We start from the raw sequence: 23231 nt of genomic DNA on the forward strand, positions 1-23231 counted from the left end.
ATTTGGTGACGTTTCAAGCTAAAGCAATTAGATTTTTCATAAACTGTCCAAAACCTTCTCAGGATTTGGGGGTTCTGAGCCAGGATGGAGGATTTCATGGAGGCCAAAAGAGTAGCAAAAACTCGGGAAGGATTTCATGAGGAGCAAATGCACACAGATGTGAATGTTACATCACAAACGTGCTTGCACCTCTTGTCAGCTGCAAATAACTATGCCCAAGCACCTCAGTTTTGCCTTTGCACAGAATTCCATGATTCTGAGTTCTTTTCTTTGACTTTCTTCTTCCTACTGTGTCTGCCTCTCCTGCATTCCACGCTGCTTCCCAGGCTTCCTCGTCCTACCCCCGTGTCTCATGTCATGACATCCTAAGAAATTACTCCCTGCACCCCAGGTTTTTAAATACCTGTATCCTTGACTTGGTGGTGTTTGAGGAATTATTTCCAATCAGTCGATTAGCAAAGCTGATGGAGACTCTGGAGAAGACAGTCCCAGGCTGTGGGTGAATAAGCAAGGTCTGGTTCCTCTGGGTGCCTGTTTGCACGGCCAGAGGCTGACAGACTTTGGGTGCTCCACAGTAACCTCAGAAAGAGTCCCCCCGCAGCAGCAAATTCTCCCAATGCAGTTTTGAAACACCGCAAGAGGAGGAAGCCTCTTTAATCAAATAATAACCAGTCAGAGATAAGGCCTGCTAGGCTGAGCTTGGCCAGCCAATCACAGGCTTCCTTCCGACTGCAAGGACAAACAGACCCAGGCTTCTGGAGTGCATTTCAGGGCTTGTTACAATTTAATGATGCAATGAATGGTGTCTTCTTCGCATTGCCTGGTGGGGATTTTCTAACTGGGGAGTAAAGCTCTGAGCTCAGTAACCTCATTCTCAGCGGAGGTGTCCACAGCTTGAGTGTTCACATGGGGCGTCAGGCTCCGGGCCTGGCTGTTTCCAATTTGCATTTCTCACTGCTGAGGGGAAGGGAGGTTTGACTGGGGCTGAGCGGGGCTGGGGTCCCCATGGGGTGAGCCTATTTGACACCAGATGTGCAGCTCACTGACTGTGACCCTGAGAAGGTTGTGGAGAGATGTTGGAGATGCTTTATGTGCATTTCGTATTTGTCTTTAAGCAGTCATGACTTTGGTCTTCTCTATTTCTTCATCCTCTTTCCAGCTGCTGCCACCCTCCCCTTTCAAAACTATTATTGCTCTGTTCGGCTTATGAAGAGCTCTAGTAAAGACAGTAGGTTCTGGGAACTAAGAAGGTGTAGGGGCGAATAAAGGCCCTTGCTAGCTGTGTCCATGTGACTTTAAACACTGTCAGTCGCTTCCTGCTTAGTTGTTGCAAAGACTACATGCATAAAAACTCCCTCTCCTTCCTCTGAGGCTCTTACAGGCCCTATAGACTGGTAGACAAACCCTCAAAGGGTCTTGATATATTAGAGCTCAATATTTAAAGGAACTTAAGGGGAACCCTCTTATTAGGTAAATATGCATTCGTTCAACAGTTATTTATTTTGCATCTACTCTGGTAGAGATGTGCTGACTGGGGGCACTGAGGTGAGCCAAACCTGGCACAGTTCCCTGCCCTCCCAAAACAATGTCAGCACAGGAGGTAGCAGTTTGTGAAAGAAGTCCTTAGTGCAGTGGAACCAATGGCAGGGACTGGTGAAGAGGGCTTGTCTTGAAGGGTATGGGCCTGTCCAAAGGAACCACAACAAAACCAGCAGTGGTAGACAGGAAGCGGATCCAAGTCAGAGGGACAAGTACAGTCAAATATTCTCCAAGGGGACCCCCTGCAGGGCTCCTACTGGGGAAAGGAGAAAAAGCAAAGGTGTGTATCTCCTCTCCTTTTTTATTTTTATTAATTAATTACTTTTTTTGTTTTTTTTGAGACAGAGTCTCACTCTGTCCCCCAGGCTGGAGTGCAGTGGTGTGATCTTGGCTCACTGCAGCCTCTGCCTCCTAGGTTCAAGCGATTCTCGTGCCTCAGCCTCCCAAGTAGCTGGGACTACAGGCACCCACCACCATGCCCAGCTAATTTTTGTATTTTTACTAGAGACGGGGTTTTACCATGTTGGCCAGGCTGGTCTCGAACTTCTGACCTCAGGTTATCCACCTGCCTTAGCCTCCCAAAGTGCTGGGATTACAGGTGTAAGCCACCACTCCTACTGGGAAAAGAAGGAGAAAAAGCAAAGGTGTGTATCTCCACTCCTTAAAAAAAAAAAATTGATATATAACGTCTCATTGAAATATAATGCACACACCATACAATTTACCCATTTAAAGCGTATATATAGTTCAGTGATTTCAAATACAGACATAGAGTTGTGCAGCCATGAGCAGAATGAATTTTAGAACATTCCATCACCCCATAAAGAACCCCCTTCCCATTAACGATCACCCGCAACTCTGCCAACACCTCATCCAGCTCTAGGCAACTACTGATCTACTGTATGTCTTCTATAGATCAGAAACGCCTACTCTGGACATTTCCTATAAATGCAATCATAGGATATGTGACCTTTGCAGCTGTTTTTTTTCTCTTAGCATAAAGTTTTCAAGGTTTACTTCATTTCTTTTTATTGATGAATAATATTACATAGTATAAATATACTACAATTTATACAGTCACAAATATCCACCATTCATCTGCTGGAGGACATTTGGGTGGTTTCCACGTTTTGTTTGTTTTTTTTTTTTGTGATATCATGAATAATGCTGCTATGGACATTCATGTACAAGTTTGCATACCCTTATAGCCACGAATTCACAACCTCATAGCAGGGAAACAGGAAAGAAACAAAGCAAGCGAGAGAGCTAGTCATTAAAGGGCTTCTCTCCCGCCAGAAGTTATGATGTCATAGCAGTAGCCAAGTCTAACATTTACACAGATTTTCACAGTGCATAAAGCACAATTATACATTCTGTCTCATGTAACCCTCCCTACAACCCTAAGCAAAAGGAAGGTAGTATTTTTATTGCCCTTTCAAAGATGAGGTGCTGGAGAATCAGAAACTTTAGAGTAACTTGCCAAAATCTACCCAGGCAGGAACTGAAGCCAGAATGAAGTCCTGTGATCTTCCTACTCCAACTCTTCACACACAAAACAGGTCTTTATTCTTCTCCTACATATTCAGTCTTGGCTTCCTAGCTGTTTAGATCAAGAGAAAAAAAGAAAGAAATTTAAAAGGACTTCATTGTTTATGGAGAAAATGGCAATGAGGTCAACAAATAGCTGTTATGTTGGCATTTAAAACATTTTTACCTAAGGCTCAGAAAGACTGAATATCTTACCAAAAGGCACAGAGCTAGCAAGCTGGCCATTGACGATTCAAAGGAAGATAGAAATCTGATTCCCAGACACAGGTGAGATCAACTTGCTTCCTTCCTAACAGCCTACTGAGGGCAGTGCCTCTGCAGCTGCCTGGCTTGTTCAAGTGAGAGGAAGGTGAACTCTGGGTGAAAGCACTGCAGATGGGGTAGGACTGGCTGAGGAGGATGCCATACAGAGCAGGGGCACACGGAAATGGATTAAGGATCATGGGAGTCTCAAGATGCAGGGGAAGATGGCTACAAAGGAGAGAAAACAGAGCGACTATGGAGAGATGGAGAGGACTTCACTGAAGGCTCGCCAAGTTCTCAGCTTGACCCATTGCAAGGAATGTTTTATCCAAACCCTTGAGGTCACCAGATAAACAATAAGGGAGATGCGCTGGGTAGGATGGTATAAGAAAAAAAAATCAACCTGGTGTTACCAGAAAGGGGTCCTGATTCAGACACCAAAAGAGGGTTCTTGGTGCAAGAAAGAATTTGGGGCAAGTCCACAGAGTGAAGTGAAAGCAAGTTTCTAAGAGAAGTAAAGAAACAAATGAACAGCTACTCCATAGACAGAGCAGCAGCATGGACTGCTCAACTGAATATACTTATGGTTACTCCTTGATTATATGCTAAACAAGGGATGGATTATTCACAAATTTCCCAGGAAAGGTGTGAGGAGTTCCCGGAATTGAGGTTTCAACTCATGAGGTTTTTTAGACTACACAGGGTAAATGCCTTCGCATTTGTAAACTGTCATGGTGCACGTGGGAGTGTCTTTTGGCATGCTAATGCATTATAATTAATACATAATGAGCAGTGAGGATGACCAGAGGCTGCTTTTGTAGCCATCTTGGTTTTGGTGGGTGTTAGCCCGCGTCTTTACTGCATCCTGTTGTATCAGCAAGGTCTTTGTGACCTGTATCTTGCCCCAACCTCCTATCTCGTTCTGTGGCTAAGAATGCCTAACCTCTTGGGAATTCAGCCCAGCAGGTCTCAGCCTCATTTTACCAGCCCCTATTCAAGATGGAGTCACTGGTTTGAATGCCTCTGACTCAGGGACGACAAATGTGGTGACTGAGAGTGACAGCATCCTCCCAGATTCTCAGCACCTGTCCAGTCCCAACCAAAGCCCACAGCCCTGGCAGAGCAGCACCAGAAAAGGACCTTCCCAAAAGGGGGTAAAGCTCTCCATGGGGGTAGAGAGGAGGCTGAGCAGGCCAAGTGCACACAGGTGACAGGGCCTGGCCACAGGTCATGTCTGAGATGGAGATTCCAGTGCAAAGTGCTTTCACCTGGGAGTGGGGATGACGGAAAGGACAGCAGGGATGTGGAAGTACCAGAGGTCTGGAACCAGCTAGGCACCTCACAGCCCCTGGATCTTGATTCGTGGCACCAAGATCCTGCCAACTTCATTTGATTTCCCTTTTATTTTCATTACTTACAGAACTCAGTACATATCAGGCACGTCACTGTCAGATTGACTCCAAAATCCATAATTTTTCTATCATTTCATGCTCCCACTCCTAAGAGAGTTCTTAAATTCATTTTCTTTCTGTCTTTTGCAAGCTGTCACTTATTACATTTTCCCTCCTGCGATTATTCTAGCACTACCAAAATCACTTGTGTGTGTTTGCAGCATACATGAAACCCCCTTTGCAAAAATTATATAACAGTGAGATTATGACAGTCGAAGAGATCTGATCTAAGCAACCCCAATTTGCCTTTAACCTCCAAAATGCCCTTAATCATTCCTGGGGTCTGGCCAAGTGACCTTTGGGAGACATTTAATTTATAGTTTAAATGATAGCCCTTCCCTAAAACTAAGCCACCTTTGTAAAACTAATGAAAGACCACCAGGTCAGGAGAATGAAAGGAGCCTGAATTCTGCTAAGGTAAACAATTACCAGCCATTATTCTGGAGGTCACAAGATTTGCCACTTTTCCAATTACTCCTGCAGATAACATTGCTCTTGTAGAACCTAAGATAAGCCTTTTTAGATGTCTTTTCAGGTTTTTGCATTTCTGACTACTGATGGCTCCACCCAGACAGCCAGTTGGATCTGTGGCCCCACCCAGAAGTAGACTGAGCAGGCAGGAGGACCATTTTCCACACCCCTATGATTGGATCCCCAACCAATCAGCAGCACCCATTCCCTGGCCCACCAAACTATCCTAGAAAAACCCTAGCCTCTGAATGTTTCGGGTGATTGATTTGTGTAATAAAATTCCTGTCTGCCATTCTGCAGGCTCTGCATGAATTAAACTCTTTCTCTATTGGAATTCTCCTGTCTTGATAAATTGGCTCTATCTAGGCAGTAGGCAAAATGGAACCACTGGGTGGTTTCATACATGCATCTAGAGCCATACTCATATATAACTGTGAGAATACATCTCTGTGTGCACATATATTCATATGCATGTATCTTTGCTTTTAGCTATATGTGTTTTGTTGCCTTCAGAGAAGGGTGTGAGTGGCTTTAGTTTTAATTTCCTTGAGGCTAGGTAAAAGCCTGTCCTTGAATAGTGGGTTTGTGGTGATCTTCTTATTGTATGTCATCACTTGAGTAAAGAAACTGACTCCTGTAACGAGGACAATTACTTTGCTGCAGCTATCTTCTGAGTATTTTTTCTCTGGGATGGTTCTTTCATCCCAGAGAAGATTTGTGGAAACTTCCATTAATGGTGTTACCCAATGATGTGTACCATTGATGTGCATGTCATGACCAAACTAAACCCATCTTTGATTTGGCTTTGATCTGCACTGCCAAGGACAGATCTCAAATACACACACACACACACACACACACACACACGTCAACTTACATGGGGAGATTATTCACAAATTCAGAACATCTTAGCACCAGGCAGCCAATATAAATGAGAAAACTGGGTTAGACGTGATTAATGAGAAGTAGTGGGGACTGGGGTCAAGTGGACAATATATATCACATCCAATGGCATCTACTATCTCCAGCCCAATATTGCCATGGGAAAATGTAGTCTCAGTGTGGTCAAATCTTTTTATTTTCAAAGGAGGCTAGAAATAAGGATTTTAATGTGAAATCTCCATTTTTTTTAATTTGGTAAACATTCACAGATATGAAATACTGTACAAGCCAGAAAGCACACACAGATTTCAAGATAAACTTAGTCTGTGGGCTGCCAGTTTTTGCCCCTTAATGTGGACATAATATGCACTTGCTTACACATACCTACCTACTCTTGCACGGTGACCAAATATTCTAAGTAGACTGTGAGAGCCAATCCTCCAGATGGCTGTGGGTTTGTCTCTCTTACTTCTGTAATCTAGAGTCATCAAAGTGTGGTGGGAGGACCCCTGTATCACTAGTCTTCAGGAACTTAATAAGCATACAGATTCCTAGGCACCACCCCAGAAGCCCTGGGGACAGAATCTGGGAATCTGCATTTTAACAGAATGCCCAAGTAATTATGATGCCCACTCAAATTTAAGAATCACTGGCTCTAGGTCTGAAGAACCTTGAGTATAAGATAAGGCATTTAAGTGTGTCCTGAAAGCTCTGGAAAATGTCTGAAAGTGACATACTTCAACTTAGGTTTTAAAAAGATGGCACCAATCTGTCATTGTATACCCCAGAACAGTGTGTCTCAACATGTGGTCTTGGCCACTGTTGCATCAGAACCACTTTGATATCCTGTTGAAATGCAGACTTCTATGCCCTTCTGAGTCACAATTTCTCATACGTGCTATAATCATAACAGGGAATATGACTATGGCTAAATATGAACCAAGCACTTCATATAAAATGCAGATAATAACGCTGCAAAATAGATACCACTATGTTCATTTCATAAATAAGAAAACGAGACTCACAAAGGTGACATGTGTAGTAGTATTCTGGATATATTTCAAAAGAAAAACAGCATCCTTATCCTTCAGAGATACCTACCAAAATATTCACCAGTGAAATGATATGATGTCTGGGGATTTGTTCCAAACTAATACAAGAGAGAGGATGTGGGTGATGCTAAAGGTGAAACAAAATTTGTCATGAGTTGACAATTGTTGAAGTTGGGTGATGAGTTATTCAGGTGCTTTATAATTTGTTATTCTATATTTTTCTCATTTTTCTAAATTTAAATTTTTTCTATTTTTTATAATGAATTGAAAGAAAAGACTTCCTTCCTACCACTGCATCATGCATTATAGAGCTTTACAAATATATGGTTGCTAAATGAATGATTTTGCCCACTGTTTGTGCCTAACCTGAATATTAGCAAGATTCTAGTCATTAAGAGTCCCACGCAAACCCAGACATATTTCTATCGATTTGTTTTTTAAAATGACTCATCAATGCCTATAACACCCCTCAATATCGTAAGTTTGTTTATGGCCAAGAACCCACCTATTTGCTATACCTGGCATAGATCCTTGTACTTGGTAGGTATTCAATGAATGCCAGATGGGTGAAGGTGACCTGTGAGCCTGGGGAAGGCTGAAATGACTCAGAGCACCCTGCACACATACCTGTCTTCATGCCAAATGGGAACATCTCAGGCTTTCCTCCCAGGGTCCCTCTTTGAAGCATGGCACACATTGTTCCTGATAACTTCAGGCTACTCCACTATGCACCCCCTTTTATTATTGCCTTATGTATATTTGCTTGTTCAGGTGTGCATGTTCAGTCTTCCCAGCTAGATCATGAGCTGCCTTGAGGTTGAGAACAATGTTCTCTCAGATCTCTGTAGTCTCCAGGCCTAGCACAGAGCCAGGCCCAGCCACACCATTTACCCATGGCGTGGGTAAATGATCCATGCCATGCCAGCCACAGAGGAGCACTGTTTAGATTCCCCTTCAAGAGAACCTTCTGCAGGTGCCTGGTTGACTGACAGCCTCTCGGTGCTGTCCTGTTGACTCCACCATGCCATTCCTGCCAGGGCCACATGTACCCCAGGCCACTCCTGGTCAGCAGCTGAATACAATGGTGGCATAGGAGCCAGGCCTCTCCCTTTCTCCCCATGTAGCCTTCTCTCATCAGTCTGGCAGCCTTTCTCAGAGCTGCCCTGTGGTCTGAGGCTCCTCTGACCTAATCCTTCCTTTGCTCTCTCCTTTCACAGGACTCAGACCTGTAGCATGGTCCAAGGCCAGCCTAATTCTGCTCCATTTCCTTTCACCCTTCATAAACACCTCCCCCAATAAATCTTTTACATATCTACTCCTGTTTCAGTATCTTCTTCTAGGAGGACTCACACTGTTGAATAGGTGAAGTGCCTGAGATCCAATAACAACCAGGGATTTCCAAGCTCCCTGTCTTGCACATGAAAAAAATTCTATCGATCTCCTAGTTTACAGCTAAATATGTGGTGTGTAACTCTTATCCTAAAACAAACTAAATCAACTTTTCCACATCAAACTAGGACATTCTATTTTGAAGTCACATGTTGCAGTGGAATGAACTGAGGGCGTTAGGGAACCTATACAGTGATACCTGGCCTTGTGACCTTAAGCAAATCACTTCTTATGTTCCCTCACTTTCTTTATTCTTAAAGTAAGGCTACTAGGATCTTCCTTCCTCCTTCATGGAGATGTTGGATATATTTATGTTTTTTAGAAGTACTCTAAACTGCCCTAAGACAGGGTTTGCAAACTTTTCTGAAAAGAACAAAATAGCAAATATTTTAGGCTATATGGGTCATACAGTCTCTTTTACAACTAATCAACTGTGCCATGTAGCACAAAAGCTGCCAATATAAACAAAGACTACAGCAAAATTCTATTCAAATAAAAACTTGTGGTGGGCTGGACTTGGTCCCAGGGCTGTAATTTACTGACCCTTGCCCTAGAGTCATGGACGCTTATGGTTGGAAAAGATAACAGGCATCACAGGGTTTTAGGTAACTAGATCCTTCCTCTGACATTCATCATAGACCTGACTAATCCATCAGGAAGCGCCTTCCTGCAGAGTTCAGAAGCAGCCTCAGCATCCTTCTTAACACAGGGTGACCAATCAAGCTAAGATGACATGTGTAGTGATGTCTATCATTTCCTCTTGATTTGTTCACATCCCACACCCCCCAACTGAGAAAACTGAGACCAATTATTCAGTAATAATGAATATAAAAGTGTTTTGAAAAGTATAAAGTATTCCTTCAATGTAAAACATTCTTATCTGGAGCAAAAAAAATCCCAGCCATTTAAAATACAATTTAAGTAATAATAAGTTAAATTATTTCATACACAATGATCATGGTTATTTTTTTGCAGCAAGAACAACTAGGCCCAAAGTGCTGTTTTCCCATCTCCTGGAAAGTAGGGATGCATTCTTTTAGTATGTACAGATAAATGTCTGCCTTGTTTCTCCACTGGCAGAAAATGAGCTGAGCTTTCTGGCCTTAGGTTGCAGTTCAGGAGGCAAGGTTTAAATTTCCTCCACTGCAAGACACAGGTGCTGAGAGAGAGTTGCAAGCTATCTTAGATTCCCTCCAAGCAAGTGTCTGTATTCAAAGCAAAGCCCATCATAACTGGGAAACACCGTGTTCCCCTGGCCTCTCTTCTCCTTGAAGCTGTTTGTTTTTGTGTTTTGGGAAGGCAACCTTGACATTTCCTCTCTCTATTCAAACTTGTTGATCAGAAAGATCAAAAAGCCTTCTGTAAAATATGCAAGTACTAAGGACTAAAAACATCCTTTTCTGCCCCTAAGAATCCAAAGACCCTTATGAATATTAAATAGATGAATCTTTGCCATTTGGAAGTCAACCACCCCTTTTGGAATCAGATGACAGCCATGGAGCTCTCGGCAGGAAAAATGCATGTGCGATAGTCACCGCAAGTTCTCCAGCCTCCAGGATCACCTCTTTGTTTATATCCAAACAACAATAATCCCAGACCAGTTAGTATCACAGTCATTTCCACAGAATGCATATAGCCTTCTCATTAAGCAGAACACTCAACATTCTAGTTTGAAGCACATGCCTTAGGATGACTTTGCCTGGTCAGGGCCGGCCTGGTGATCCCATGTGCCAGCCTCACTCCCCAGCAAGAAAGTGGCCCCAGGGGTCTCCGCCAGAATGGGGTGGATGGCACCCCAACCTGGATTTCAGCTTCTGGTCTAGAATGCAGGATGTGCTGCCTTTTCACAATGTGACACTATCCAGATTCCCTCACCACACACACAAGCACAAATTTGCCCACAATTCCAAAATCCCAGAGGAGAGCCCAGCACTGGATAAGCCCCTCTAATGGCCTTGCCTGGGAGCTGCTGGTTCCTGGAGGGAAGAGTCCTGAGGGTGGGGACCATTGAGTCAAGTCCTGGAAAGCCAGGGACTGGGGTTCAAAACTTCTGGGTACTGAGTACCTAGTCTGGGTGTGACCACCGTGTCTGGGTGTGACCACCACCACCTTTCCATTCCACAATGCCACCCTCCTACCTATGCCAGCCAGTCAGCCAGCCTGATTCCACTACCAGGATGTTTACATGGGGAAGCAAAGGGGAAAGAATATTCTGGGGACTCATGGGTTTGTGGGAGTCTGAGTGGGATCCCCTGGCACTGTGATCTGCTACACAGCAGTTCACAGTCCCCTTTCCATAAGTAAAGCCCTCTCTGACCTCTCCATATAAAATGTCAGCTTCCCCTCGACTCCCCACCACCACCCAGCATCTCTGTCCCTGCTACCTGCCTTCATTTTCCTCCATTACATGAATCATCATAAAACATTGCAGAGCTCATTGTCTATCAACTATCCCCCTCCACTAGGGTGTCAGCTTCTTAATGGCAAGCATGTTTTGTTTTGCTCGCTGCGGTGTTCCCTTCATCTAGAAGAATGCCTGGCACAATAAATATTTATTAAATCGATATAATGAATAAACAAAGGAATCACAAGTAGCCTTGTTTCTAGAGCCCAGCTCAGCCCCACCTCCCCTGGGAGCCTCCCCTGACTGCTCTGAGGATCACACCATTTTTCCCATGGTGCTCATTTATTTTGTCAACAAGCTTGTATTGAGCACCCACTATGTGCCAGATCCCAAGCTAGGCCCTGAGTTTACAGGACAGACCAAGCAAACCCCTTGCCCAAATAGCTTGCAATGTAGTTTAGCACATAAAAGTCATCTAGTTTGGGTTTCCAATTGCTTCCTGATCTTCCAGAGATCAAGGAGATGCTAAAGGAGGGAGAAGACTGACATTGCCTGAGCACCCACTATGTTCTCAGCATGTGATATGTGCTTTTCTGGAACCAGGTGGGTTTTGCCCCTGAAAAGAAGGTCATCGTTGTGGAGAGTGTGGGAGGGGAAGAAGTAGGACTTGCAGAGCACAACAATTAGAACACAGAGGCTGCAGGGAAGTGTGAGCCATTTCCCACTGGAAATAGAAAAGGAGGCTCAGAAGAGACATGGGCAAGGATCACTAGGCCTGGTGTAAAGAAGCCCAGTTGCACCCTGTGTTGGGGTGATCAGACCCAACACCAGGCCATGGGGGCTATGAAGTCCAGCAGAGCCAAAGAAATGAGAAAAGACAAGAAAGTGGGACCAGGGGGCCAACACTAGTATGGAAGCTGCAAAGACCCCGAGCTCTGGGAGCCCATGCTATTTATTGGTGATCAAACAGAGAAACAGGTGGTGAGGTTGTGAGGGTTGAGAGAAAGTGATGCATCAAGCGACTGAGCTGCAGCTGTGATGGTTTAGCATTTTCTTTGAAGCATATGGAACGTGTTCTGCTACTTGAGATAGTAAGAGTGCTAGAAGCAAGGAGTCAGCAAGTCTAGACACATTCCAGAGGCCACGAGGGGTTTTATGCCCTGAGCCCTGGATTCCATCCAAGCCATGAGGGGTTTTATGCCCTGGGCTTAGATTATAGTGCAGCAGGGCAGACTTCCACCCTTTAGCACAGAGCTTGGTGTTCCAAAGGCCACGAGGGGTTTTAGACCCTGGACCCCGGACATGTTCCAAGACTCTTTTACATTATGTCAGACACGCAAGCCCTGCCTCAGCTTCTCTCCCAACATTCAGCTTTTCTCCCAACACCGTGACCCCTCAGGCATGCCACTCTCGTTCTCTAAGCTGTTTCCATTTCAGTAAAGGGCAATTGCTAGCCTCAGCAACCTCTAAGGCTCACTACATAAAGACATCTATGATCTTTTCTAATCAACACAGCATCTTCCTCCTTTACTTCCTGTGGACCCTGTCCTGATACCTCAGTTTAGAAAATGACTTATGACAGTTAATGTGATCTTTCCACAAAGGAGGGTCCATTACACCTGACCTTTGATTTAGGCAAAATAGTTTGGGGGATAAAGGAGCATGAAAGAGCTCAGGGGTTTTCACTGTTCTGTTCTTTCCAATTAACCTTAGAGCCTTCTCTCCTGCTCTGCCCTCTCCTGGGACCTCCCCATCCTGGAGCCCAGCCATAAGCTGTCTTGGTTCTTCAGTTGCTCAAGTGACTCACCTGATTGGCTGTGAGGTCCAAAGCCCACTAGGCCTTCCACAGGGCTGAAGCCAAGAAGACGGCCCCTTGAGTAACTTCTCCCTCATCATGCTGGTTCCCATCCCTGAAGAAGATGGGCCAAGACAGGCGAAAGAGGGCATGAGCTGAAGACACGCACTGAGCAGTTGCCTCTCATCTTGCTGTGAGTGGCTAGGCAGAGGTTAAGGTTTCCTGTCCCCACCCCCTCCCATTGCCCAATTGTCCACAAGGAAAACCACATAGCAAGTACTGGGTGGCTTTTGGAACCACAAACAGTCCGGATCAATTTGTTCTAAAGGCTCATTGAGCAACCACATTGCCCTCTTCCCTCTTGCCTGTCTGGCCATGAGGCTCCCTGCTGAGCAATTGCCTGCCCAGACAGGCAAGAATGCCAGCTCCTCAATTATAAGGGTCTGGATGCATAAAGCATAGCTCGACTAATTGACCACATCCCACTTGCAATCACGACAAGACAACATGAATAGAATCATAGTTTCCTCACTAATCATTTCAAGGTCTTTCTAAACACAATCTTTCTTCCAAATGTGTTATCTCACCACCAGCCTGAGATAGGTTGCTAGTGATAATAATTAACTGATGGATGACAGGAAGCTAAAAACTATTCTTTAAACAAAAGAATATGATAGTATCATTTTAATAGCTCTGCTTAGCATTTTGATAAACAAACAACATTTTTTGTTTGTGGATTCTGTAAAGATGTCTAAATCAATAATCTCAAAAAGACTTACATATTCTGTAACCAAGATATCAGAAAGTTAAAATCAAACAATTCAATTACGAATGTTTATTGAGTATCCACCATTCACAAGGCACTGGGCTGTGGGTTGATACACAGATGTATAAAGCTCAATCCTTGACTTGGAGATGGTGAGTTGGTCACTCATCAGGGTTTGAGGACAGAAAAGTTTTGCAACCTACATAAAAATAAAGGAGTGACCTGGGCATGGTGGCTCATATCTGTAATCCCAGCACTTTGGGAGGCCAAGGCAGGAGGATTGCTTGAGGCCAGGAGTTTGAAACCAGCCTGGGCAACATAGCAAGACCTCATTCCTAAAGAAAAGACAAATTAGCCAGGCATGGTGGCATGCACTTGTAGTCCCAGCTACTCAGAAGGTAGAAAGATCACTTAAGCCCAGGCATTTGAGGCTGCAGTGACACATGATGGCACCACTGCACTCCAGCCTGGGTGAAAGAGTAAGACCCTGTCTCAAAAAAATAAAATAAGGCCGGGCACAGGGCTCACACCTGTAATCCCAGCACTTTGGGAGGCTGAGGCAGGCAAATCACTTGAGGCCAGGAATTCAAGACCAGCCTGGCCAACATGTTGAAACCTCATCTCTACCAAAAAATACAAAAAAGTAGCTGTCCGTGGTGGTGAGCATCTGTAGTCCCAGCTACTTGGGAGGCTGAGGCACAAGAATTGCTTGAACCGGGAGGCAGAGGTTACAGTGAGCTGAGATTGTGCCTCTGCACTCCAGCCAGAGTGACAGAATGAGACTGTGTCTCAAAAATAAATAAATAAAATAAAATAAAAAATAAGGGAGTGGAAACTCAGCCAGATATGAACTTCCACTGAAATAAATATCTGAAATATGTAACTTGCTGGATTAGGCATATTATTGTGAACAGGACCCTCCCAAGTTCTAATTTGACAGTTGACAATTTGGCATGGAGCATGGAGAGATACAGGACAGACATGAATGATGCTAGATTTGATAAAATGTCATGCCATCACAAAATAGTTTGGAGAGTATTCAGCCGCAAGTAACAGAAAATGCACAAATAATGGCGTAACCAAGTATGAGACATTTTTCTTACTCATCAAGAATTCCAGAGTTAGACTGCTCATAGCTGGAGAAGTTGCCATGAAAATAATCAATAATTTCTACTATTTTCTTTCTATATTGTCCTCTGCTTGTAGATTTTGTCCTCATGTTTTCAAAATGGCTGCAGCATTCCAGGTGTCATGTCCACATTGCAATAGGAAAAATGAGAGAAATACAAAGGACAAAAGTCTTCTCTTTTGTAAATGACTGCCTTTTTATTTGCAAAAAGAAGCCTTTCTCAGAAATCTACTTTCATCTCATTGACCAGAACAAATCACATGGCCACTCCCAACTGCAAAGGAACTGGGTATTTTTTACTTTGCAGGCTCCATAGTAAAGGAAGGCAAGGGAGAAGGCGATTTAAATAGGTTTCACTGGACCAATAGAATTTGCCATGTATTTATCACATAATAATCACGCGGTATATGAAATTTACTTGATTTTACATTATAAAAAGCTATTTTTCTGCCCCACTGAATGTACAACTTGGCTCTACTTGCCTTTTTTAAATTAGGTTTTTAGATATAATTATGTTTTTAAGAATATATTTTTAAGGAATAGTTGGGTAAAAATTTTGTAGTGATTATCTCTCAGTGGTGGAATTATACTTTTTTTAATTTATTTCTCTGTGCTATCTAGTTTTGTTCTTTTGTTTTTTTTTAATTTGCCATAACAAAAGTGCATTGTTGTATAATAAGAAAGCAAAAAAAAAATTTCACAAGAACGTTCATGACTCATTATGGTATATTGTCAAATGGAAAAGCAGTGTATACAATGCATTCCCAATTTTCAGAGAGTAGCAAAAGCCTAGAGCGTTGCCTCTGAATGCTGGGAATATATTAATAGATTGCTTTCATTTTCTTTCTCTGCTTTTTGGTATTTTCCAAATTGATCACAGCAAAAAATATTAAAAACAAATAACAATCGTGGCCTATGTAGCTTTCCACCTGGACTTGGAGGAAATGAAGTCTTCCAAGCATAAACTGAAAAACAGAATTTGGGGAATAAAAATCACACCAAAAAAAGAGAGAGAGAAGAAAGAAAGAGATAAAGAAAAAGAGGAAAGAAAGAAAGAGAGAGGGAGGGAGGGAAGGATGGAGGGAGGGAGGAAAAGGAAGGAAGAAAGGAAGAAAAAGAAAAGAAAGAGAGGGAGAAAAGAAAGAAAGAAAAAAGAAAGAGAAAGAAAGAAAGAAAAAGGAAAAGAAAAGAAAAGAAAGAAAGAGGAAGGGAGGGAAAGAAGGAGGGAAGGAAGGAGGAAGGAAGGAAGAAAGAAAAAAAGAAAGAAGAGAGAAAGAAAGAAAGAAAAAAGAAATTCTACTGAACAGGCCTTGTTTGTTAAGACCAAAAGGAAAACAATAAAATGCTTCCCTCCTTGTTTCCTTTCTCTAAAAGCAGTTTCTGCTGAGAAACATTAAACCCCCTTAACATTCTTCAGGGGATTCTCAAGTCCAAGGCTAAGAGCCGGATAGAAAGAGGGTGTTTGTTCCTTTCTGGTGAGTCAGCTGTGAAACATGGCCCATTGTTTCAACAAATATGGCCACCAGAAGCAGTCCTCTCATGGCCTCTTCTCTTTCCAGGAGGCTGAGAGGCTGGGGAGCAAGAAGATGCCTCCTTTGCCTTTCAGACACACCATTCCACACAGAAATTCAGCAGTCATTTCATTTCTCTTATTTATTTTTCTCTTTCCAATAAACACAGCTTTCTCCCAAAAAGCAAGAGTCCATCTACAATTCTCCTGAATTTGCAGAGCTAAAGGCCATCATTTCAAAGGCCTAGAAAATGCACGTCTAGGTAAAGGGTTCTCCTACTGGATCAATTTCAAAAGCAGACAGTCCATTCATTAGGCATTCATTCATTCATTCACTCATTCATCCATCCATCCACTCAGCAACAGTGCCTGGCTTGAGGATACAGTGAGAACAAGGCAAAGTAAACACGGCCTTCGGGAAGCTTATTTGGGGAGGCAGGGTGATAGGGAAAGACAGAGAATAAGAAAAAAGGAAGCACATCAATAAATAATTTTAGGAAGTGAGAGTGTGATTTAAAGGATATAAAGCAGGGTAAGGTTCTAGAGAGCCACAAAGGAGTAGGCGGGTGGTCAGGAAAGAGTCTTTGAGAAGGTGACATTTGAATTGAGACTTGAACGATGTGAAGGAGGGAGCCATGAGAAGTTCCGGCAGGGCACAGGCAGGCAACAGCAGAGTTCCAGATGGGGCAAGCGACAGGAGGTGAGCCCAGAAAGGCAGCACAAAAGCACAGGGGCTTCGAGGCTGCAGGAAGGAGCGTAGATTTAAGAACAAGTGGCTATCTACAGCGTAGTGGGGATCAAAAGCCAAAGGTTGCAAGCAGCTATGCACTCACGCACCAGCACCTGTTTTCCAGTTGTGTCAGAGAAGATTAAGGATGACAGTAAAAAGTTTCTGCTTTCTCACAGCTTCTAGTCTAGACCAGGAGACAAAAATAATGCCTAATGCAATTATGGAACAATTCGGGGCTAAGTCATGTGACTCTAATTTATGTAAACACATTTGGAGAAGGTGAAATCAGTGAGAGCAGAAGCAGTCAGAGGATTGCATGGGGAGAGAGTGGGCTTGACCTAGAGGATAGGAAGTATTACATCAAGGATGGCAAAGGTTAGGCTGCACGCACCCACTCCTCCTTCCATGGCAAATACCTTTAACCATTCACAGCTCTCTTTCCCACTAACCTGGGCCCCGAAAACCTTCTCAAACTAGCATTCCAGGCAGATGCCCACCCCCTCCCCGCCCCGGCAGTTAATCAGAGTTAGCATAGGAAGAAAAAATGCAGCCTAAGCCAGACATAGTGAGTCAGGGAAATTGGGGAGAGAAAGTGCTTCCCAAATTGAGAGGCCTAAAGATCAAGTGGGAGTTATCTAACTGAAATGGCAGAGAGTGGTTCCTCACAGAATAGCTTGTGTGAAGGGCTGGAGGTAGGAAGGCCTGGGGCAAGTAATTCAATGTGGCTGGGGTTACAAGGGCAGGGGCAGAAGGGGCTGGAGAAACATGATCACAGAGGGCAGTGGAAGCAATGCAAAGAGTTTGAACTTCATGTTACGGAGATAGAGAAGCTTTGAAGGGCTTAAGCAGGAGAGAGGAGCGACCCTGGTTTCATTCCCAACATCACTCTAGCTTCCCTGCCAACCAGGGAGCACATGAATTAGGAGACTGGTGCAGGAATCCAGGGCCTGGACTCGAGGGTGTCAGAGGGAATGGAGATAAGTAGGTGGCCTGAAGCTATTTAGGAGTTGAAATGGCTCAAAATTAGTGATTAGCTCTCAGGGTAGAGAAGAGAGTAAAGAATGAAGTCCAGCCCCTCAAGTGAGTCCACGGATACCTGCAATGACAAGGGAAAAATGAGAACTGACAAGCCCTACTGGTCCGTGCTTTCAGATCTAACACACCTGCAGGAAGCCAGCAGTGCCTACAGCTTCACAAGACAACGGCGTTCCCACTCTGCTGGGAGCTTGACATGCCAGGCATCCAGCCATTTCTCACTTCTGCTTTAGGTCTCAGGCAAACTATGCAAAACCCTTTAAGTCCAGGGCATCTCGTTTTTCATGGCAAAGAGCAGTGACTCAACCTTTGAAAGCCACTTGACATTTTAATTTGCCAGTGCCCCACCTTGGCAGAGGATAATCCAAAGGTTCAGAGTGGCTGAGGGCGTTATTCAAGGTCACATAGCAAGCTGGAGGTGAGTAGAGACTTAGAATCAAACATTCCCAATTTGTTACACTACTTGCTGCCCAGGTTCTGAATAAATCAAGCACCTTAAGCTATGTCACTGCCCTCCTTAGCCTATGTAAGCAATGGTGCCAAGAGTAGGAGAAAATGTGGTAGCCCCCATTCTCAGTGTTGTGTCAGTTCCTGTATAAGTCAATCCCTTCCTCTTAATAAAAGAATCTCTGGGTTTGTCTCTGGAGCAATGCATGGGTGGGCAGAAATCCACATCTCTATACATCCCAGTTCCTCCCAGACTCTATGTCTATTCTTGACTAGCTTTGAATAACTTGAAGAAGGTGGAGTGGGGCGTGTTCTGATTCTGAAACATGACATTTGAATAGCACCTCTGTCCTGGGAGTGAGCCATAAAATGAGGTAGCACCTGGATCTCATCTTTCATCCTGGTTCCCCTCAGCAGGCACCTGAGCCCCTCCTGTGTGCCAGGCACATGTCAGCAATGCACGTCTGTTATCTAAACGCAATTTTGCTCAGGCCTCCGATAAGCACTTTATCTGAAAGAGGAAGAAAAGGTTTTTTAATGCTTGCCTTCTCCTGAACTCAACCCTGCTAAGTTGATCTCATGTGTGGTATGCAAATCCAGGGGCACTGAATTTCTGTGAGAAAGTGAGGGATGACAGCTGGGTGCGGTGGCTCACGCCTGTAATCCCAGCACTTTGGGAGGCCAAGGCAGGTGGATCACCTGAAGTCAGGAGTTCGAAACCAGCCTGGCCAATATGGTGAAACCCCATCTCTACTAAAAATACAAAAATTAGCCTGGCGTGGTGGCAGGCACCTGTAATCCCAGGTACTCAGGAGGCTGAGGCAGGAGAATCGCTTGAACCAGGAGGCAGAGATTGTAGTGAGCTAAGATCACGCCACTGCACTCCAGCCTGGGTGACAGAGTGAGACTCCGTCTCAAAAAAAAAAAAAAAAAAAGAAAAGAAAAGAAAGAAAGAAAGAAAGTGAGTGATGAGACATCTAGACACCTGGGGGGTGGGAAAGTGGGGAGTGGGACAGGGAAGCTGAAGCCTCAGAGGCTGGGAAGGCCCCAAATAGGAAATCCCCACTGTGGGTGGCCCCAAAAGATGGACAGCGAATATGATGAGATGGACAATATAGGCCCTCCTCCTCCCCCACATCTGCGTTCATTGATTCAACATTTATTCAACAAACAGTAAATAAACACCTTCTGAAGTGTTCTGGGTACTGGGACTATAACAGTAAACTCAACAGACCAAAATCTGTTCTCCTGTAGTTAATATTGTAGTGGCGGAGACAGATGTTAACAAGGATATCAAATGTTAGGTAGTGAGACAGGATGGAGTGATAGCCTGAGTCAGGAAAGGCAGCCCACAGAGTGGGTGGTATGTGAGAGGGGAATAGGAGCGCTGTCAGGGGAGGCCAGGGAAGGTGTCAGGGAGAAGGTGAGTTGTTTTTTTGTGTGTGTTTGGCTGGGGGGTTGTTTCTTTGTTTTTTGAGACAGTCTCACTCCATCACCCAGGCTAGAGTGCAGTGGTGCCATCTCAGCTCAATGCAACCTCCCCCTCCCAGGTTCAGATGATGATTCTCGTGCCCCCGCCTCCCTTGTAGCTGGGACTACTACAGGTGTGCGCCACCACACCCAGCTAATTTTTTGTTGCATTTTTAGTAGAGACGGGGTTTCTCCATGTTGGCCAGGCTGGCCTCGAATGTGCCTGGCCTCAAGTAATCCGTCTGCCTCGGGAGAAGGTGAGTTTTTATTAAGCACTGAGGGAAATGAGGGAGCTAGTACTGCAGATGCCTGGGGGAAGAGCCTTCCAGGCAGGGAAACAAAAAAAGCACAGTTCCTGGGATGGGAGCGTGCTTGGAGTATTAGAGAGAGAAACATCAAATCCACCGGTCAGGAGCAGAGTGGGCGGTGAGAGCAGGAGGGGCTGAGGTCAGAGTGGTGGCCAGCCAAAGAACAAAACTGATAAGCATTTGATTTTTTGTGTGTTGAGGGTAGAACAGGGTCAATCCATAGGGAAAAAGGGGCCAGTGGACTTCGAGGGGACATGTACATTACATCTGGTCTCTCTCATAACACTACAAATAAGGCAAGCGGGGCTCAGGAGGGGAAGAGGAATTGTCCAAGATCACAAGGTTAGGGTGGTAGAAGCTGGAGTCGATCCTGCAACTGATAGATTAAGCTTCTGCTCATCCCACTACAGTCAGCTAAAAAGTGGGCAGTTGGGAAGGAGAAATAGAGTCAGACAAAGAAGTGTGTCTAGATAACAGATGTGCAGCGCTGATGCCGTGCCTGGCACACAGTAGGTACTCGGGTGCCTGCGGAGGGGAACCAAGATGAAAGATGAGATCCAGCTGCTACCTCACCCCACACTCGCTCCCAGGAGGGAGGTGCTGTACACATGTTGTGTTTTCAGAATCTGAACATGCCAGATTCCACCTTGTTTGAGTTATTCAAAGCTACTCAAGGACAGGAGGAGAAGTAGCGTCAGGAGGATTGGGGATGTTTACAGATGCGGATCCCTGCACGCTCATCTATCTCTCTAGGGCCAAAGCCCAAGGAATAGCCCAACCCCCACATAATCGTAGGATCTGAGAGTGGATCACATATCCCTCTTTGCATGGGACAGGCCCAGAGTGCTCCTATTGTCTTGCAGAATTATTTAAGACCCTCTTTCATCTTGTAACACAACCCTGGTTTGGATGACAAATTATATACTCACCCTACTGGGCCTCAGTTTATAGATAGAGGCCCTGTGTTACAAGGTCTGTGATATACTTCAAGATATTTCAGCTTAGATCGTAGGATGTTTATGTGTTTGTTTTAACCTATGCCCTAGGGTAAAACAAGGAGTAGTAACTCACCTAGATGTGATTAGTTAACATTTGAAGTACACTCATCAGGAATACACACTTCAGGCACTGGTTAGCATTTGAAATGATCTAATAAAAAATAGAGGTTACAACCAGCCCTTCGGTCAGAGACTTTATAAACAGTTATGATGAATGTTAGAAAGAATTTTTCCTTGGTGGAATGAAATGATGAACACATGCAGATTGCTAGACATGTTCAGGCACTCCTACTCTTGCATTAACAGAATGTGAGAACATAGCCTAATTCTGCAAGACAACAGGAGCTCACTGGGCCTGTCCCATGCAATAGCCTGTACTCTCTGGAAAGCCACCCTGGGCTTATTAAGACTCGTTCACGGGAAGGTTTTATTGTCTGATTCCGGATAGGTTATCTGATTCCTACTGCTAAAATATTGTTACATTCATCTAAAGAGAAGCTTTTATGCAAGATGCTAAGGGAAGACCTCAAAGGATAGAGAGCTGAGTCTTCATCAAGCTTACATAATTATATGTTTGCATGTCTTTTTGCTAATAAGCAAAGGCACATGTGGTGGAATTCCAACTGAGACTTGTTTTCTCTGTGATCTTACCTGTAGATCCCGCCCGTATCTACTGAAGAACTAAAGAACTGTGAACAATCCAATTGTCTTGGCTCAGCTGACAACACCTGGCAAGGTGGCAAGGTCCCAGAGGAGAAGGAGTCACAGGCTGTGTCATACACACCAAAGCAAAGAAGATCTTGGGCAGCTGTACAAGTGTCCCTCAGGGAGAGAGCCCTGTGTACCCAGAGGGCATGGAAGCTTCAAGGAGAATTCTTGAGCCAGTGGCTGTGAAATGGGACAACCCAGCTGCATCCTGCCTGATGGTCCTCCCAAACCTGCAACTGCTGGGAGTGGGGTTATCTCAGAGGCTATCAGTGTGCGTACATTATGACCCTGGAGACACATACAGTCTTAAGCAAAAAAGGCTGGGAAGCACTGAATTGAGCATGGTAGGGTTCAAAATAGGAAGTTAACTTATTTATACCTCTTTTTATTCTTTTATTCTTTTTAATTTTTGTGGGTACATATTAAGTGTATATATTTATGGAATTCATGAAATATTTTGATATAGGCATATATAATAGGTAATAATCCCATCAGGGTAAATCACATCACCTCATTTATCCTTTCTTTTTTGTTACAAATAATCCAATTATACTCTTCTAGTTATTTTTTAAATGTACAATAAATTATTGTTGACTATGGTCACCCTGTTGTGTTATCAAACACTAGATATTATTTATTCTATCTAACTACATTTTCATACCCATTAACATCCCTACTTCCCCCCAACACACACACACCCTTTCCTGCCTCTGGTAACCATCATTCTACTCTTTATCTTCATGAGTCCAATTGTTTTAATTTTTGTTAGCTTCCACAAACAAGTGAGAACATGCAATGTTTATCTTTCTGCACCTGGCTTATTTCACTTAACATAATAAACACCAGTTCCATCCATGTTGTTGCAAATGACAGGATCTCATTCTTTTTAATGGCTGAATAGTACTCCACTGTGTATATGTACCACATTTTCTTTATCCATTCATATGTTGACGGACACTTAAGTTACTTCCAAATCTTGACTTTTGTGAATAGTGCTACAATAAACATGGGAGTGCAGATATCTCTTCAACATACTAATTTCCTTTCTTTTGGGTTTATACCTAGCAGTGGGATTGCTGGATCATTTGGTAGTTCCAATTTTAGTTTTTTTTTTAGGAACTTCCAAACTCTTCTCCATAGTAGTTGTCCTAGTTTACATTCACACCAACAGTGTACAAGGATTCTCTTTCCTCCACATCCTCACCAGAATTTCTTACTGCCTGTCTTTTGGAAAAAGCCATTATAACTGGGGTAAGATGACATTTCATTATAGTTTTGGTTTGCATTTCTGTCATGATCAATGATGCTGAGCATCTTTTCATGAACCTGTTTATTGTTGATATGTCTTCTTTTGAGAAATGTCTATTCAGATCTTTTGCGTATTTTTTAATCAGATTATTAGATTTTTTTCCTGTT

At 43.8% G+C, this 23231-nt stretch overlaps 1 protein-coding gene across 3 annotated transcripts in view; it reads right to left on the bottom strand.

The window, feature by feature from the left end:
• Positions 1 to 12913, bottom strand: part of GPAM (glycerol-3-phosphate acyltransferase, mitochondrial) — a 77813-nt gene extending 64900 nt beyond the window's left edge. For 2 of the 3 annotated variants that reach the window (XM_005269998.2, XM_024448089.2), the window contains exon 1: positions 404 to 627. The gene's annotated coding sequence lies outside the window, so the exon portion shown is untranslated. Of the gene's footprint in view, positions 1 to 403; positions 628 to 3029; positions 3140 to 12726 lie in introns of those variants that run through there. The other variant, XM_047425564.1, reaches the window with a different exon arrangement.
• Between the last annotated feature and the right edge of the window lie 10318 nt (positions 12914 to 23231).

The sequence above is a fragment of the Homo sapiens genome, chromosome 10 (genome assembly GCF_000001405.40).
Source record: "Homo sapiens chromosome 10, GRCh38.p14 Primary Assembly".
NCBI classification, from domain to species: Eukaryota; Metazoa; Chordata; class Mammalia; order Primates; family Hominidae; genus Homo; species Homo sapiens.